General features: G+C 36.7%; 1 protein-coding gene across 14 annotated transcripts in view; it reads right to left on the reverse strand.

Moving 5' to 3' along the window:
• ARHGAP32 (Rho GTPase activating protein 32) overlaps positions 1-19,121 on the reverse strand; it is a 314,573-nt gene that overhangs the window by 72,863 nt on the left and 222,589 nt on the right. For 13 of the 14 annotated variants that reach the window (XM_047427929.1, XM_047427927.1, NM_001378025.1 and 10 more), the window contains one exon: positions 3,006-3,087. The exons of the other annotated variant lie outside the window; for it this stretch is intronic. In XM_047427929.1, the coding sequence (XP_047283885.1) occupies positions 3,006-3,087 (82 nt within the window). The remainder of the gene's footprint in view (positions 1-3,005; positions 3,088-19,121) is intronic. 14 annotated transcript variants of the gene reach the window in all.

Genomic DNA, 19,121 nt, shown 5'->3' on the forward strand with positions numbered 1-19,121 from the left:
AAACCCCATCTCTATCAAAAATATAAAAATCAGCCAGGTGTGGTGGCACACACCTGTAATCCCAGCTACTCCGGAGGCTGAGGCAAGAGAATTGCTTGAACTCAGGAGGCGGAGGTTGCAGTGAGCCGAGATCGCACCACTGCACTCCAACCTGGGTGACAGAGCAAGACTCTGCCTCAAAAAAACGAACAAAAAAAGACATATAAATCAATGGAAGAAAACTGGAAATTCAGGAATAAATCTAGGGTCAACTGTGTCTAGGGTCAATTGATTTTTCCAAGGGTATCAAGGTAATTCAACAGGAAAGAAATAATCTTTTCAACAAACAGTGCTAGAACAATTGGATAACCTCATGAAGTTGGACCCCTGCCTCATCACCATACACACAAATTAACTTTAAAAAATGGGTCATAGACTAATATGTAACATCTAAAACTGTAAACCTCTCAGAAGAAAACACAGGAGTAAATCATGACTGTGGGTTAGCCAAAGCCTTCTTAAATAAGGAATCAAAAGCATAAATGACTAAAGAAACATCAAAAGTAAAAACTTGTATGCATCAATGGATACTACCAAAGAAAGTCAAAGACAAACCACAAAACAGGTGAAAATATTTGTAAATCATTATTATCTGGTAAAGAATTTGTATCTAGAATATATGAGCAACATTTACAACTCACTAAAAAAAACACAAATAACCCAATTAAAAACTGGGCAAAAGTGGGAGGTTGAGGTGGAAGGATCACTTGAAACCAGGAGTTTGAGACCAATCTGGGCAACAAAGCAAGACCTCATCTCTACAAAAAATTTAAAAATTAGCTGGGCACAGCGGCATGCACGTGTAATGTCAGTCATTCAGCAGGCTGAGTCAGAAGGATCATTTGAGGCCTGGAGTTGAGGGCTGCAGTGAGCTATGATCACAACACTGCACTGCAGCCTGTGGTGACAAAGAAAGACCCTGTCTCGAAAAAAAAAAAAAAAAAAAGAAAAAGAAAAAAGAATAAGCAAAGGATATGAATAGATACCCTCCAAAGAAGATGAACACATAACCAATAAGCACATATAAAATGACTAAACATGATTAGCCAAAAACAAAATGCAAGTCAAATCCACAGTGAGATACTACTTCACAATTAAGAAGGCAATAATCAAAAAAATCCAAATAAAAACAAGTGTTGACAAGGATATGGAGCAACTGGAAGTCTCATACACTGCTGGTGGAACTGCAAAATGGTACAGTTACACCAATGGTGCAGCTGGCAGTTCTTCAAAGATTAAATATAGTTACCATATGACCCAGCAATCCCACACCTGGACATATACCCAAGGGAAATTAAAACATATCCACATGTAATATTGTACATGAATATTCAGAGAAGCCAAAAATGGAAACAACTCCAAATGAATAAACAAATAAAATGTGGCATATGCATACAATGAAATGTTATCCAGCTATTTAAAAAGAAGGAATTAAAACAGAAGTACTGATACATGCTACTGCACAGGTGAATCTTGAAAACACTATGCTAAGTAAAAGAAGCCCATCACAAAAGACCACACATTATATGATTCCATTTATACAAAATGTCCAGAATAGGGAAATCAATAAAGACAGAAAGTAGACAAGTGGTTGTTTAGGGCTGGGAGCAGTATGAGGGGAGCAGTGTCCGCTAATGGATATGGGATTTCTTCATGAAGTGATGAAGGTGTTCTAAAATTAACTGTGGTGATGGCTGCACAACCCTGTTACACAATTTAAAGGGTAAATTGCACGATATGCGAATTTTATCTTAATAAAGCTGAGTTTTCAAAAAGTTAAGTTTAAAATAACGCCGTATTTTTAAAAAGAATGAAATCTACAGTTACGAATGAAGATTTACCAAACAAGTACCCACTTAGGAGCTTTTTAAAAAAGTTTACCCAAGAAGGATAAAATTGCTTCAAAAAGAACTGAGAATCCTGACTCAAGTAGAACTGCAGAAAACACTGTTTTGAAGCATTTTCTCTACTGAACAATAAAGTTAGTCTAAAATAAACAAATTCCAATGAGAGAAATGGGAACAATGATTCCCTAGTCTCCTGTGAAGAAATAAGCTTTGAAAGGTATTATTAACCTTTACTTAAATACTATTAGCAAAGATTGTTGGATGTAAGCTTTGGGAGCAGAAGTGGGAAAATACCAAAAGAGTAAAGAATAACTGTTTTTTTTTTCTTAACTCTTACATACAGGTCCTAAAACTAGAAAATACTATCATAAGGTAAACAGTTCAAATTAATTCTGAGGCCCAGAAATTTTTTCTTCTCCTTTTATTGGGAGGTGGGAAAGGACAGAAGAAATGTAATATAGCTAGGAAAAATAAGTTGGATGACTCCCTCTTCTCTCCAAAGCTTTTTAGACTTTGTTTGAATTTTTTTTTAATCGACATCATCAAAAAGTTTCAGATGAGGCATTCTGTTGAATCTTCCCAAAACTAAATCACCTCAATAAACACCGAAATTCACATTTTCTTGATTTTTATCCCCTTCAACAATGCTTTATTTGTAATATATTCTAGATATTTATGCAGCACTGTAAGTATACTGTATAAGTAATAAGAAATGCTGTTTAAAATAGTTTTGATGTTCATATGCCCTGTTAAAATATACTTACTTTTCATTTATTAATTTTCAGTTAATCCTACAATTTCTATGTTAGTTCTTTAAACCTATTTTTTAAATCATTTTATTCATTAAGTTACAATGCTATTATGCAACTATAAAAGTAAATAATGACAAAGCTTAATGGAGCAATTGCCTAAAAATTTGAGTGCATGTAAACCTTTTCAAAATGATCAACAGAGATATAAGAATACATTTAAAAATCAAAACCATATAAAATTAAGAATGTTAATTATTATGCCTATAAATGCAAAACTAGCAAAACAAGCTAAATACTTGACTGACAGAAAATCTGTGTCTTCAAGCAGTTGATAAAATAACTACACTAGTGAAAAAAGTGTACTCACCTGGTTTTGGCACTGAGTTGGTCACTGACTGGGGAACTTTTTGGTTAATTAACTCAACACAGTGTCCAGGGAAGAGTCCCACCTGATGAAAAGCAACAAAGAAAGGATTCTAAACCAGCAAACAGACCAATTATGTGAACACTGCCAACTGAATTCCAGTAATGTATTCTACAGTCCCTCCCAAATGATTCTATTATTCCAAGACTCTAAATAACAGATGATGCCAATTACACAAACAAATAATAAAACAATCTGTTGCTATGAGTACATAAAGTTATCTGTTTTATTTGTCCAAATATCTAAGTCTGCTTTTTTCCTTTTAGTTTTTAATTTCCCAATCTTTTTTTACATGAATTAAAATATTTAGTCTGACAATGAGCTATGCATGCAAGTAGGTAAAATTTTATAATTTAATAATGCGCTTTACTGAAATCTCAATCCAGTTATGTTGATACCTCTGTTGCCAACTTATGTTTATTGACTTCTCTATGGGTTTTTTAAATCAACACTAAGCCACAACTCAAACTTTTTGTGAATTTTCTCTTCACTCTCTCCCAGGTTTCATAAAAAAAAAAAAAAAAAGACATGACTAAAATAAATGTGTAAAATAATCTCTCATTTAAAATCCTGGTATTCACTGCTTTTAAAAACTAGTAGCGCATGGAAAAGAGGGAAAGTAAGAGAGAAGAAAACAGCCAATCTCAGCAGTGTCAACAGACTCTGGCTTTGAGGAACACACCACAGTGACCTAGTAGCAGAACCGCAGGCATTGCTTTTGGCATTGTAACAAGCCGTATTAGGAAAATGCTGAGTTCCAGATCATCCAGAGATACTGTATAGCCAAAAGGATAAATACCGAGATAAACAGCCTGGAAACAAAAGCAAAGAGGAAATCTTTATCAATATTTATAGATGTTTCCTTAGATAAAAATATAAATGGGCTGCCATGCAGCAGATGTTAAAGCTGAAATATGAAAGCTCCATCACTTTGTGTATCCCTCTGTTGACAGACTCTGGGGAAGAATGGAATAGTTTTCCAAGGGTATGATTCATCACCAAGTTCTGAGCTGTATAATTTCCATCTGTGTGAAATTATTTTCACATACTCATTTGCTACATTCTTATTTCAATTTCTAGATCCATATTCTATGGTAGTTGTTAAAATTGTGAAGATATAAACCAGTTATCATGAGCTGAAAAGGGGTATTAACAGATTATCAGTTTTTTTGTTTTTTGTTTTTGAGACAGGGTCTCATTCTGTCACCCAGGCTGGAGTGCAGTGGCACAATCTAGGCTCACTGCAGCCTCGATCCCCCAGGCTCAAACAATTCTCGCACCTCAGCCTCCTGAGTAGCTGCGACTCTGGGCATGCACCACCTCACCTGGCTAATTTTGTTTATTTTGTGTAGAGATGAGGTATCATTATCAGACTATCAGTTTTGTTCACAAGATGTGAATTTGGGATTCCTATGCACTGCCTTCCAAAATGATGCTTTAGGTATTTGTTTTACTGGTGAAATTCTTTAATATATTCTACTCAACTTCCTATTTTACGGAACAAGTAGAAATGCTTCCAAGACTGATTAGAACCAGGTAAGAGTCAACTTAAAAAAATCTTCATTTTTTTTTCTTACACAAGTCAGTTATGAGAGGGGATATGGGACATGGTTAACAGCGTAGCCTCAAGTAAGTGTTCCACCCTCCATAAAAGGGTTTGGAAAGCGATTATAAAAGTCTCAGGTCGTAAATTAAACAAATGTATACAAAAATGCATTTGTAAATAATCTTTGTTTTTACAAGTCTTTGCAATAAACTGTCAGTTTGGTCTCCAGCAGAGAGAGCTGGAGGAGTGGAGCTTCCAGATGTAGTCTCCGGTGTGAGTCCCAGCAATGGAGACCTTGATGCTATGAGCTCTGGAGACTCTCATGAAGAGGACTTGGGGGGATGAAGAAGTGACTGGGAAACTGCTCATGCCGAGGAGATGGGAGGTGCCCTGGAAATAGCTGCTTCAGGATCTTAAGCCATGACGGATAGAATGTTAAAAGTCATTCCACAAAGTGGTGTGTTTCAATGCAAAGGCTAGAGAACTGTAAAAAGGTGGTTACCAAGGCTGGGAAGATACAACTATTTCAAGAGTGACTCTGAAAAAGATCCTGATGCCTTGAGGTACCCTTCTGAAATTCAAGTAACAATGTACAAATATCTGCCTTGTTTCAGAATTTATGGAGTATACAATTCATGTTTCTAAAAGAGCCTACCTGCAGCTGGTTTCCACATCTGAAATTATAGTGCTCTCCAAGTCACATAGCTGGAAATTAAATGTTCAAGTTCTACCTTGGCCCCAATTTGATGTTTGGTGCTCTCTGGATTGAGTTGAATTATGTTCAAGCTTTGCAATTTCACTTGTGGTAAAGGCTCTAACATTTTCTCTTTCTATGCAAATTTCTTTTTTTCTTTTTTTTTTTTTTTTTTTTGCGCAACGGAGGTTCGTTCTTGTTGCCCAGTCTGAAGTGCAACGACGCGACCTCGGCTCACTGTAACCTCCGCCTCCCAGGTTCAAACGATTCTCCTGCCTCAGCCTCCCAAGTAACTGGGATTATACGCGTGCGCCACCATGCCCGGCTAATTTTTTGCATTTTTAGTAGAGATGGGTTTTCTCCATGTTGGTCAGGCTGGTCGTGAACTCCCAACCTCAGGTGATCTACTCACCTTGGCCTCCCAAAGTGCTGGGATTACAGGCGTGAGTCACCACATCCTGACTCTATGCAAATTTCTTGAAGGAGAATTGCTTGCATATTTCTTCTCTGCCTTCACAGAAGGCAGAGTTTCTTTCAAACTTAACTGAGGCATCAGTTGCTCTTTGGCTGTTTCTTACCATGATTATTAACAATAAGTTTGTGGCTTGGGTTTGCAAACTGTACTGTTTGTTGCACTGATCTTCCCATATAGTAATTTTTAGTTGGTGAAAAAAATTAACCCTCATCTGAAATTAACATATCAGTTTTTTTAACTAGTCTCAGATTTTAAAACTTGCAATAAAGTGGAAACTCATTGGTTTTTCTTGCCCTTTCGAACTCTTGTAATTGAGTTTTCATCATGTTTTATATTAAAGTGTTTTATATTAAACAAGTTTTCATCATGTTTTATATATAAAGCTAACACATGGCTACAAAAAAGAAGTATCTGGGTTCAATCTTAAGTCTGCCACTCACTAGATTAGGTTTGTAACTTAGCCTCTTTGTGTTTTAGTTTCTTCGTCTAAACATGGTAATAATAATGCCTATCTCATAAGGGATGTTATGAGAATTAAATGGGCTAGTATAAATAAAATGCATAGAGTAAAATGCATTGATTTGTTAACTAAATGGTCTAGTAACAACATGATCTATTAACTACGGCAGCCTGTTTCGTACATTATTCTTTCTGCAGCCGTGGCAATTTCTAAAGCTTTAACCCATTTATGGCAGAGGTTGCAAAATTTTTTTGTGAAAAATCAGAACTTGGCGATGACCTTGAGCAGTAAGATATAAATAACTCCCACAAGCTTAGCGTTCCAATAATGGAACACTAAGCATAAATGGGTTAATGCATAAGTAAATGCTATTATTATCCCAGTATTTGGCTACCAGAACTGCTAGAGGGCTCTAGCTCCTCCATCAAATGGATATTACACAAAATGCCACCTTTTGGATATATCTGCTGAAGTTTCCTGACTCTCAAATATCATTCTTTCTAAAACATTCTAATTCATTTCAATATATAAAATCTGCAACTGCCTGAGAGAAAAGTCCAGATTCTAAACTTGGCTCACCCATTTACTAGGTTCTGTGATCTATGGCAAACTGCTTAACATCTCTGTCTTAGTTTCCTAATTTGTAACGTTAGGGATAACACTACCTATACCTCAAAGAGTTTATGTGAAAGTAACTGCCTAGTTTCTAAGTTCGAGTATCTTTTGGCAAAAAAAAAAAAAAGTTTTCCATCACTTCCCACAAAGACTGAACAAAGAGAGCTTAATGCACTTCTCAGGGAACTATATCACATACATTAGTTACATTTTCACCTTTTAAATTCATCACAATGAATTAGGTTTAGGTATATGGGGAAATGCCACTGCATACTATACAGAGGTAGATCTACAGTAGGCTCACCTAATACCTAACTCCAATCCCTGCCCTCTTGTTTTACTTTATCATAAGTGTAATATCACTAACTACTAGCTAAACTAGACAGTTTCCCAGACTCCCTATATTCAGGCAAAGCCGCAACACATGTAAACACAGCTCTGCTACTATCCTGTCTCCTCCTCTGTGCCGTGAGCACAGGTGTCATGACTAGATCTGTCGTGGTCATCACTTGACCATAAGTGAAAAGCTGAGAGAACCTTAGAGACTCCTGCCTGGCATCATTAAGCTGCTGACTCAGCACTAGAAATCCATCATCTTTTCCGCTCAGTTTTTTGTTTCTTGAAGCCAAAATCACTCCTAAACATCAAGGAGTCTTTTAAAAGAGTCAGTTCTATGAATTTGTGAAAGGCAAACAGATTCCATTTTACCATCACAAAATTTTCATGATAAAAAATTGTGTTCTCTTGAAAATATTACACACGAGAATGGAACTAACTTTAAAAGTACAGTTAATGAACACTTATACTTTTCTAATGAATACTTCACCTAAGATTTCACCAAATAGTAACAATTTTGATAAAATGTCAAATGGTAAAAAGTGACTGGAACTCTGAAAATATGATCTATTAGCTATGTCATCTTGTTCTGTATCTTATTCTTTCTGCAGCTGTGGCAATTTCTAAAGCTTCAATTTACATGGCTGGAAAGGGAGAGCAGAATTGGGTATATTGGCAGGGGTCAAAATGAGATTCAACTCCAGGAAGAGAATGGAAGATGGAGAAAAAGCCAGCATCTAGGGCCCATGACGGTAAAGAAGTAGGTAATAAAAACACAGTAATAGAAGGAAAAGAACAATGTAGAGACAGGGCTGGAACAGGTTAGGAATGGTCTTGAAAAGAGGAGACCTCCCTGTTGACTGTTTTCACTCAAGTCTTTGAAATAAAGCAAAAAGCCACCAGACATGCTAATCTATACCATGGTGTGCTGGTAAATGTTTAACAACTAGCTCTCCACGGGGGAAAGGCCTTCATTTCCAGTGTTTTCCAGCGCCCACCGTATACACACTCCCATCATGGCTGGTTTCAAGCTACCAACTTGATACAACTGAACACAAAATTGGAAAGAGAAGCAGAAGGGCACTCAGTTATACAGTATTGAAAGCATACAGATAGAGTAGCTGGAAATAACTTCAAGAGCATAAATGGTAAAATGTGGTAAAATAATTACAAAATATATTTGATTATTACCTTTGTTTTTAATACAATTCATTTCATTGTAAATATATATACCTTAATTTTTAATAATGGCTGTTTTTAACAACTGTCCTACAAAATTTCACAGTTGGCTCCAGCTGACCACTGATGTATATTCATACACTTCGTCCTGCGCCTATCCACCTCTAACAGCTTCTGATAATCAGTTTCTAGTAGCTTAGCAAGCATATGGCTCACCCTCTGACTCTAGGAGAACCAGGAGAGATGTAAAGGGAACAGACTGTAATCTGGTTCTTCTGATCTTCTTCTACCTTGGGGAATACTCAGACTAAAAAGAAAACCCGGTTTGGCTTCTAAAGTGAGTGTATGTGCTGAAAAATACTTTGGTGTAACTTAAAAGGAATATTAGAGAAGAAACTACTGCAATAAAATAAGCCTGGAGCTTTGGAAACAGTAGAGTTAACAACAGAACCTAATCCTAACTATAGTCTCTTTGAGGCAATCAACAAAAACCTAAAAAGGAATTCAGCATAACGATCATGTGCTTATCGCTGACTTAAAAAAAAAAATTCTTGGCCGGGCGCGGTGGCTCACGCCTGTAATCCCAGCACTTTGGGAGGCCGAGGCGGGCGGATCATGAGGTCAGGAGATCAAGACCATCCTGGCTAAAATGGTGAAACCCCGTCTCTACTAAAAAAAAATACAAAAAATTAGCCGGGCATGGTGGCAGGTGCCTGTAGTCCCAGCTACTTGGGAGGCTGAGGCAGGAGAATGGTGTGAACCCAGGAGACAGAGCTTGCAGTGAGCAGATATCGAGCCACTGCACTCCAGCCTGGGTGACAGAGTGAAAGACTCCGTCTCAAAAAAAAAAAAAAAATTCTCTTCTATTGGTTTATTTATTTAATTTATGGCTAGCGAATCTTTAGCACTGTTGGCGTAGCCAAACATTTTTCAAATTAAACTTAGTAGAAGCACTGCTCACTCCTCAAAATATATCACAGATTTTTCAATTGGAATTATTTGGCCTCAGAGTGTTAAAACTCCAGTTTTTCATTTTCTGACTACAACTTCCTATCCTCTCAGGTCTCTAGTGTTGATATTCTATAACAACAAAAGTACAAACAGAGACATCCCATCCCCTTCACATTTCCCCCCAAGGTACTTATCCCCACAATTCCAGGTTTTTTTTGTTTTGTTTGCTACCCAATATGGACCCTGTGATTGAGCATTTGTTTTAAATCAGTACCCTTTAATTTCCTTGCAATATTAACTTCCTGCCAAACCAATCCAGCAAACCACCACAACTAAATCAATTCACTACCATACTTGCATGTCTGTGTACTGCTGGAGAAAAAAAAAAATCACATCACTAAGGAGATTTGAACCAATACAAATTCACAGGCTATTGTCCAGAAATGCCAATTATTTTCTCCCCACTCCCGAAACATGCTTAAAGAACCTAATCTTCTTTAGAGTCTCTGCCCAGTCTGACTACCATGGCCTGCCAACACCATCCCAGCACAGTTGATCAAATAGACGGTAAGTCAATGAGTCAATTAGTTTGTCTGCTATGATTTTGGAACTAGTTCCAAATCTTCAATGATCTCCATTGAATTGTTAGAATTAGGAAATATTTTTCCAAACAAAGAAGAGAAGAGACAAAGAAACAACAGTTGCTACACACCAAAGGAAGCAAAAACCAGAAATAAGTTCCTCAGGTCCTTACTTTTTAGCTCTGGTTCCATTTACTTATAGCCTAGTAATTCTTGTATTGGGCTCTTTGAGATATTCCTACCAATTCCCCCACCCCCCACTCTCCTTGTATGTCCCCCAAAAGCACAACATTGCTTCTGGTTTCTTTGCCTTATTTATACTGTCCCCTTGAATGTCAACTCCCTAATTTCCATTTAAATAAAAAATTACTCTTGCAGCCGGATATGCAGGTTTGAGAGTCAAAAACAAAGCTAAAGATCAGGACATAAATCTGAGAGTTGGGCATAAATATGGTTTTTAAAGTTGAGAAAGTGAGTAAGATAGCAAGGGACAAAGAGTGTAGAATAAGAAGGCAGTCCAACACCAAACGTCAGAGGTCTAGTAGAGGAGGGTGTCCTGGCAAAGGAGACTGTGTCAAGTCAGTTAAGAGAAAAAAGTCTCTGGAAAAAGAAAATCAGATACTAATGATAGTTTAAGTAAGGAGTAGTAAAGTATCTATTTTTTTTTTTCATTAAGCCAAACAGAGACCACTAGTGATAAAAGAGAAGAACCAAAGGGTGAAGGGTTTAAGAATATATTTGTGACAGGTGAATGTAATCAAGGCTCTAGAATCTACACTGGAAAAGAAGGATAGTAAAGGCAAGAAGTAATTGATGGGCAAAAACTGGGAGGAACAGTGGAATGATAATACTAAGCATAATACTGAATATTGAACATAATTGTTTATTGTACAGCAAGTAGCTGAGGGGATTAAATTTCTTTTCCCAGTTGCCATAATACAATATCAAATAAGACAAACTAGATTACGGTTGCTTTAAAGTTTTAATTAATTTGTAATACCTTTCAGCCTTGGAAGGAGTAAGAAAAGGATAGAGTAGGCATTGTAAGTGGAAAGACACATAGAAAAAAAAGACACAAGAGTAGAAAAAAGCAACTTGTGTACTAAGAGGGGAAATAATAGTTACATCTGGCAGAACATCCAGTTTCTAAAACAGAGCAGTGCAAAGTAAGACTGGTAAGTGAGAATAAAGTCGGAGATCCTGGATGATCTTGTATACCGTCACAAGGAGTTTTAAGTTCCTTCTGTAGGAAATAAAAGTGACACATTCTGAGCAGAAGCAGCACAGGAACAGGCATGTTCTAAAAGGAAAAGCATTCGCCTGTATACCTTTCAAGCTGGAAGGAAGGGAGGAAGATAAGAAGCAGTACACCACTTCAGGAATTTGCAAAATAGGCTAGGAAAGAGAATAAAACCTACAGTGTATGACAACAGCATGAAAAAGGAAGGACAGTATATGAATGTAAACGACACAGAGGTAGAAGAGACAGATATGATCAACTGGATTGGATGCATGAACAACATGAAGTCAAGAATGCTCCTGCAGTTTTTGCTTCCACCTTAACTGAGGTATAGTTAACCCAAAGTAAACTGCACATATTTAAAATGTACATTTTGATAAAACACCCATGAAACTATTACCACAATCAAGATTATAATATATCCATCAACCCCAAAAGTTTCCTTATATCTCTTTGTAATCCTTCCTTCCCCCTATCCTCCCATCACTGCTCCTCGGGCAATTACTCATCTACTTTTTATCACGATATATTACTTTCCATTTTCTATAATTTTACATAAATGAAGTCTTATGTAATATACTCTTTTTTGTCTGCCTTCTTTCATGCAGCATATCTTTGAGGATCACTCATGTTGCTGTATTTATCAACTGTGTATTCCTTTCATTGCTAAGTAATATTCTATTGTATGGACACCACCATTTGTCTATTAATCTGCTGTTGACAGATATTAGGGTCGTTTCCAGTTTTAAACTATTACATATAAAGATGCTATGAACATTCATGTATGAGTTTCTATATGGACACATGCTTTTTCTGTAAACAGTTAGATCGTGTGGTAAGTGTACAGTAATTCCTCCCTTAACGTCATTGATGTTCACATTGGAAACTGTGAACTGACTTACTCTGTGCTGTGGGAACTTAATTCTTATTTATATCAACTAGCCAATGATAAAATTGGTTTCATTAGACAGTATGTCATTTTGCTTAAAGTTGCAGTTTCCAAGAACCAACCAACAACATTAAGTGATGACTTACTGAGTGTTTAACTTGAGAAACTGCTAAACTGTTTTCAAATGAGTTGTGACATCTTAAATTCCCACCAGCACTGTATGAGAATTCCAATTCTTCCACATCCTTGCAATTTTAATAAGTATGAATCAATACCTCATTGTTGTTTTAACCTACATTTCTCGAATGACTATTGATGTTGGATATCTATGTATTAATTTGCCATTCACATATCCTTTTGATGATATCTCTTCCAATCTTTGCCTATTTTTTAAATTGAATTGCTTTCTTCTTTAATTTTGAGAGTTTTTGTTTTTTAAAAAATAGCATCTCAGTATGTTGCCCAGGCTGGCCTCAAATTCATGGGCTCAAGCAATCCTCCTGCCTCAGCCTCCCAAGTAGCCGGGACTACAGGCACATGCTACTGAGCTTGCCCAGTGAGAGTTCTTTGTATGTTCTGATACAAATCCTTTATCAGATATAATCACTGCAAATATTTTCTCCCAGTCTGTGGTTTGTCTTTCTGTACTAGTAAATATGACTTCCAAAGAGCCGAAAGTTTTTTTAAAAAAATTAATTATTTCTTTATTATACTTTAAGTTCTGGGATACATGTGCAGAACAGGCAGGTTTGTTACATAGGTATACATGTGCCATGGTGGTCTGCTGCACCCATCAACTTGTCATCTACATTAGGTATTTCTCCTAATGCTATCCGTTCCCTAGTCCCCCACCCCACAACAGGCCCATGTGTGATGCTCCCATCCCTGTGTCCATGTGTTCTCACTGTTCAACTCCTGCTTATGAGTGAGAACACGTGGTGTTTGGTTTTCTGTTCCTGTGTTAGTTTGCTGAGAATGATGGTTTCCAGCGTCATCCATGTCCCTGCAAAGGACATGAACCCATCCTTTTTTTATGGCTGCATAGTATTCCATGGTATATATGTGCCACATTTTCTTTATTCAGTCTATCATTGATGGGCATTTGGGTTGGTTCCAAGTCTTTGCTATTGTGAACAATGCTGCAATAAACATACATGTGCATGTGTCTTTATAGTAGAATAATTTATAATCCTTTGGGTATATATCCAGTAATGAGATTGCTGAGTCAAATGGTATTTCTGGTTCTAGATCCTTGAGGAACTGCCACACTGTCTTCCATAATGGTTGAACTAATTTACACTCCCGCCAACAGTGTAAAAGCGTTCCTATTTCTCCACATCCTCTCCAGCATCTGTTGTTTCCTGACTTTTTAATAATCGCCATTCTAACTGGTGTGGGATGGTATCTCACTGTGGTTTTGATTTGCATTTCTCTAATGACCAGTGATGATGAGCTTTTTCTCTTATGTTTGTTGGTCACATAAATGTCTTCTTTTGAGAAGTGTCTGTTTATATCCTTTGCCCACTTTTTGATGGGTTTGTTTTCTTGTAAATTTGTTTAAGAGCAGAAGTTTTAAATTTTGATGAAATTAAATTATTTTTATGAATTGTTCTTCTGACGTCACATTAAAGAAATCTTTGCCTAATCCAAAGCCACAAAAGTTTTCTCCTATGTTTTCTTCTTGAAGTTTTACAGTTTATACTTTATAAACATTTAGGTATATTGGCTGGGCGTGGTGGCTCACGCCTGTAATCCCAGCACTTTGGGAGGCTGAGGCAGGCAGATCACAAGGTCAGGAGATCGAGACCATCCTGGCCAACATGGTGAAACCCTGTCTCTACTAAAAATACAAAAATTAGCTGGGCGTGGTGGCCTGCGCCTGTAGTCCCAACTACTCGGGAAGCTGAAGTGGGAGAATCGCTTGAACCCAGGAGGCGGAGGTTGCAGTGAGCCGAGATTGGGCCACTGCACTCCAGCCTGGTGACACAGCAAGATTCTGTCTCAAAAAAAAAAAAAAAAAAAAAAAAAAAGAGACATCTTCACCTAATCCAAAGCCACAAAAGTTTTCTCCTAAGTTTTCTTCTTGAAGTTTTATAGTTTATACTTTATAAACATTTAGGTATATTATCTATTTTAATTTTTGTAGATGGTAAAATAAATAAAGTTTACTTTGGAGACGTCTGGATATCCAAGTGTTCCACTGCCATTACATCTCTTCACTGAACTGACTTTTGAACTTTGCTGAAAATCAGTTGTCCATGTGTACAACTGTATGTATGTATTTCAGGACTGTCTATTCTTTCCCACTGATCTACTTATCTATCTTTCCACCAATACCACACTCTCTTGAAAACTGTAGCTTTGTAGTAAATCTTCAGTTAGTGTTAGTTCTCCAACTTTGTTCTTTTTCAAATTTGTTTTGGCTATTATATTCCAGGTCCTTTGCATTTCCATTTGAATTGTTTAACTTGCTTGTATATTTCTACACAAGAGCCTGCCTGGGATTTTGACTTAGATCAATATGGGAAGAAACGTCATCTTAAAAAATATACAGTCTTCCAACCCATAAAAACAGTATATCTCTCCATTTATTTGGATCTTCTTTAATGTCTCTTAGCAATGTTCTGTAGTTTTCAGTATATAGCTCTTTCACATCTTTTTTTTTTTCAGATACAGTCCTAAGTATTTCCTATTTTTAGTACTATTATACATGGGTTTTATACATTTTCTGACTGAAGTGAATGCTGCAAGTCTGTGGACTACATTTAGGATAACAAGGTCTTCACATAGTTGTCCCAAGTATTTATATTTAAAAACATACTGTGTATTTTAAATACATAAATTACTTTCCTTTTATTTCTCCTTTATATCTGAAAATTTATGCTGACTTTTTTGAAAGTGTATATTAATGGAAGTAGTTAAATAATTTGTAAATTCCATTTTAGAATGACAAAAAAGGATTTTAGAAAATACTTGTCATAAAGAGGGGGTATTAGGGTTTAATAAGATTAAGAACTACTGCCACAGCCATTTTGTCAATAATTTCTATAAAATTGAGTTTTTACATGTATACATATGTAACAAACCTGCACATTGTGCACATGTACCCTAGAACTTAAAGTATAATAAAAAAAAGAAAAAAACTAAAAACAAATAAAGTGTTCTTTAATGCTGATTTAAAAAATTGAGTGTTTAAGCCTCGGTTGGTAAGACATATTCTGATGTTATAAATTAACAAAAAGCTATCAAGTAGGAAATTTATCTCCAACATCAATATATCTAATGGCACTAATAAGAAAAAGTAGCAACAAATAAAACATAAATTAAGAAAATGTATTTATTTCTATGTCCCAAAAGGAAAAGAAATACAAAATTAAAAGTCATCACGCTTGTATTCTGGTCCTGGCTATACCACGTACTTACTGTCTTTGTGAAACAGAAAAATTTATCTAAATTTGTCTCCAGATTTCTACCATTTTAAAATGATAGTTTAGAACCAGATGGTCCACTATCATCATCCACTATAGAAAAATCTATGATTCACACAAGTAAACAAGCAGAGCCACTATTATTCATTAAATTATTACCATGCTCTGTTATATGCCTAAAATGCATAGGCTTCAACAGAAACTCTGCAATATACAGTGTAATGACAAAGGGCTAGTTGTTTAACCCTTTATGCTTTAGTTTCTTCATCTAAAATGAGATCATTATAGTACCTTCATGGAGTTGTGGAATTAAAAGGTTAGTGGTAAGCACTTCGAAAAGCACACCTAAGTACTCAAGAAATGTTAGCAATTTATTTCATTTGCATTATCACATAATTCCCCTTCTCTTGAAATTATGTCACAGATGAAAACTCACAGTATAATATGATTTCCCATTACTTAACTGGAGAGTAAACATTTTGCTCTATTTGATTTTGAATAATGAAAAGATGCAGCTTTGGATTCTAGGATATTACATGAATATGATAGTTTTTACATAAATAAGCAGAGAAATAAGCAAATCCATTAAGCTACTATACAAGATAAGGTTTCTGAATATCTGCCCCTTGAAATAAAGATGATTTCTCTAAAACTAAGTTACCTGGAGCCACATTATACTCTTGAGGTAAAAAAAAAAAACTGTGCTGTCCAAGAATCGCTTCTCTGATACTTGTGCACGAAAACTCACAATATTTGGGGATAACTATGAAAAACGAAATAGGTGATCCTTGATCATCTCATGGAAAACCAAGAGAACATGGGGTATATAAAATTCTGTCACTCTCTAAGTGAGATTCTAGCCATTAGATTAACTGTGTCCCAGATGTGCTTTACGGAAGATTTTCTGAGGGGAGGGAGAAACAAAACACAATTTCTAAACTGTGTCTGATTGCTCCCTTTACCTGCACACAAGATAAACAGTGCGAGCCTACATCAGCAGTTCTCATGTTCTGTGCATAATAATCATCTGAAAAACCTGTTAAAATTCAGACTCCTGACCCCATCCCCTGAGATTCTGATGATCAATACCCATTTTTATCACGTTTCTCTCATTCAGATACCAATGGCTCCTAGCTAAAACTCTGAGAGACACTGCACATAACAAACAATCCTAAAATATATTAACATGTTGTATTTGTGTAATGCCTTTACCTAGAAAAAAGGGTTTTCTGAGGTATCACCTCATATTTCTAACAATCATTTACAGACAAGAACACAAATCTATTAATAATGCCAGTTAGTTTAAAAATAAAAAAAAGGGAAGAGTTTTTACTTTTACTTTCTGAAGTATATTATATGATGAAATACCTCAGACAACAAAGATGAGAGATTCAATATACTCCTTAGGTGACAAATAAAAAACACAGATTTCAAAATTTCAAATTACTGTAGTTAATATAATTTCACACTTCCTACTCCCAGAAGTTTAAGAAAAGAAAGAGAGTCACAGTATAATTTAAACACATGGATGAACTTATCCTTCTGTTCCCACGGCTAAATTATGGTCTGGGCTAGTGCAATACTTAGAATAGAACTTGGCAAAATGCAGGTGAGTAGCAGAATTGACCTGCAGCACACATGGACCAAAATAGTCTTAGATCCTACCCCACAACGACTGAAACGAACTGTAGGGCTTAGGCCCTGGGATTTGATATTTAAACATAGCCTCCTTTAAACATTCAAGTTTAAGAGTCAGTGGCAAAGGGAGAATAAAAAGAATTACTGGTAACAAAATGAAGAGAGCAGAACAGCACCCTTCAATACATTTGGTAAACACTATTCCTCAAACTAACTTTATGTGTTGGACCTATTAGAATGGCTATTTTTTTTAAACTGGCAATTATCAAATGTTGGTGAGGATGTGGAACAGCAGAAACTCTCATTCACTGCTAGTAACAATGCAAAATGATACAGGCACTTTGGCAGACAGTGTTGTGGCTTCTCACCAAATTCAACATACTCTTACCATATGATCCAGCAATGATATTCCTTGGTATTTACTCAAAAGACTTGAAAACTTATGTCCACACAATAACCTGCACATAGATGTTTATAGCAGTTTCATTCATAATTGCTAAAAACATGAAAGCAACCACAAGGTCCTTCAATACTTGAATATATAAACTGTGGCATATCCATGACACTGAATATTAGATAGTGATTCAAAAAGAAGCTATCAAGCCAGAGAAAGACACAGAGGAACCTTAAATGCATATTACTAAGTAAAAGAAGCCAGTCTGAAAAGGCCACATACTATACGATTCCAACAATACGGATATTTTGGAAAAGACATGACAGTGAAAGATCACAGGTTGTGAAGGGTTCAGCAGGAAAGGAAAAATAGGAGAAGCACAGGAGATTTTTAGGGCAATAAAACTATTCAGTATGAAAACTATAATGGTGGATACATGCTATTACACATTTGTCAAAACCCAGAGAATGCACACCAAGAGGGAACTCTAACATAAACAATGGACTTTAGTTAATAATAGTATATCAATATTGATTCATTAATTATAACAAAAAGTAAGCCCCAAAATTGTTTCAACAGTTGCAAGGTATGATTTGAGACTGTATTTTTTTCTGTGTGATTCTGGCCCTGGTGCTCCTTAGACCACTCTTCTAGAAACAGTGCTCAGTCAGTGCTGTAGGTAAACTCAGCTAATCAGCTGATGGTTGGTAAAGATCAGCATTTTGCTGATTCTATTCAATGTACTGTAAAGCAAATGTGAATGACGGGAAGGTATAGGTGAGGGGAGTGGGCAGGGGTATTACATGAAACTCTGAACTATCTGCTCAATTATTCTGTAAATCTGTAACTATACAAAAATCAAGTCTATTGATTATTATTTTTATTTTTGACAAGGTCTGGCTCTTGGCTCACTGCAACCTCCACCTGCCAGGCTCACGTGGTCCTCCTGCCTCAGCCTCCCAAGCAGCTTAGACTATAGACATGTACCACTTCGCCTGGGTCAGTTTTATAATTTTAGTAGAGATGAGGTTTCACCATGTTGGCCAGGCTGGTCTCAAATTCCGGGGTCCAAGCAATCTTCCCACTTTGGCCTCCCAAAGTGCTAGGATTACAGGTATGAGGAACCACATCCAGCTCTATTTTTAAAATATTAAAATCACAATACCACCACTATATAGCATGAGTTCACAGCAATATTAAGGAAGGACCACTGCACAGAGACTTGTGCCTTCTCATGCCCTGACAGCTGGCCAGAAAGGAGATCACACACACATAGTGTGACCTTGACAAAAGAAAACTGGAGTCCAGATCACATGCCATGAACACATCGAGCTGAGCAGAGCTGCAAATGCAGACATATCGGGCCTGGGTGTCAACAACGAGCTTCAGAAAGTGTTGCAGCAGCGCTCAAGAGGGTGACACCTCAGCTCACTCAGCCTCCATCATGGGAAGCAGTAGCCCACATCCTTGCTCCTCTTCCCTTCTCTCCTGAGAGAGGCCTGCACTAAGTCATCTCAATCCCTAGGAAAACCACCGGTGACAGCCAACACCAAGACGAGGCCCTCGTTTCCTTTACACTGCTAGGGAAGACACTGCCACCTCTGTGACGCACAGCCTCCTCCGTGTTCTGCAG

Source organism: Homo sapiens, chromosome 11 (genome assembly GCF_000001405.40).
Source record: "Homo sapiens chromosome 11, GRCh38.p14 Primary Assembly".
Taxonomy (NCBI): domain Eukaryota; kingdom Metazoa; phylum Chordata; class Mammalia; order Primates; family Hominidae; genus Homo; species Homo sapiens.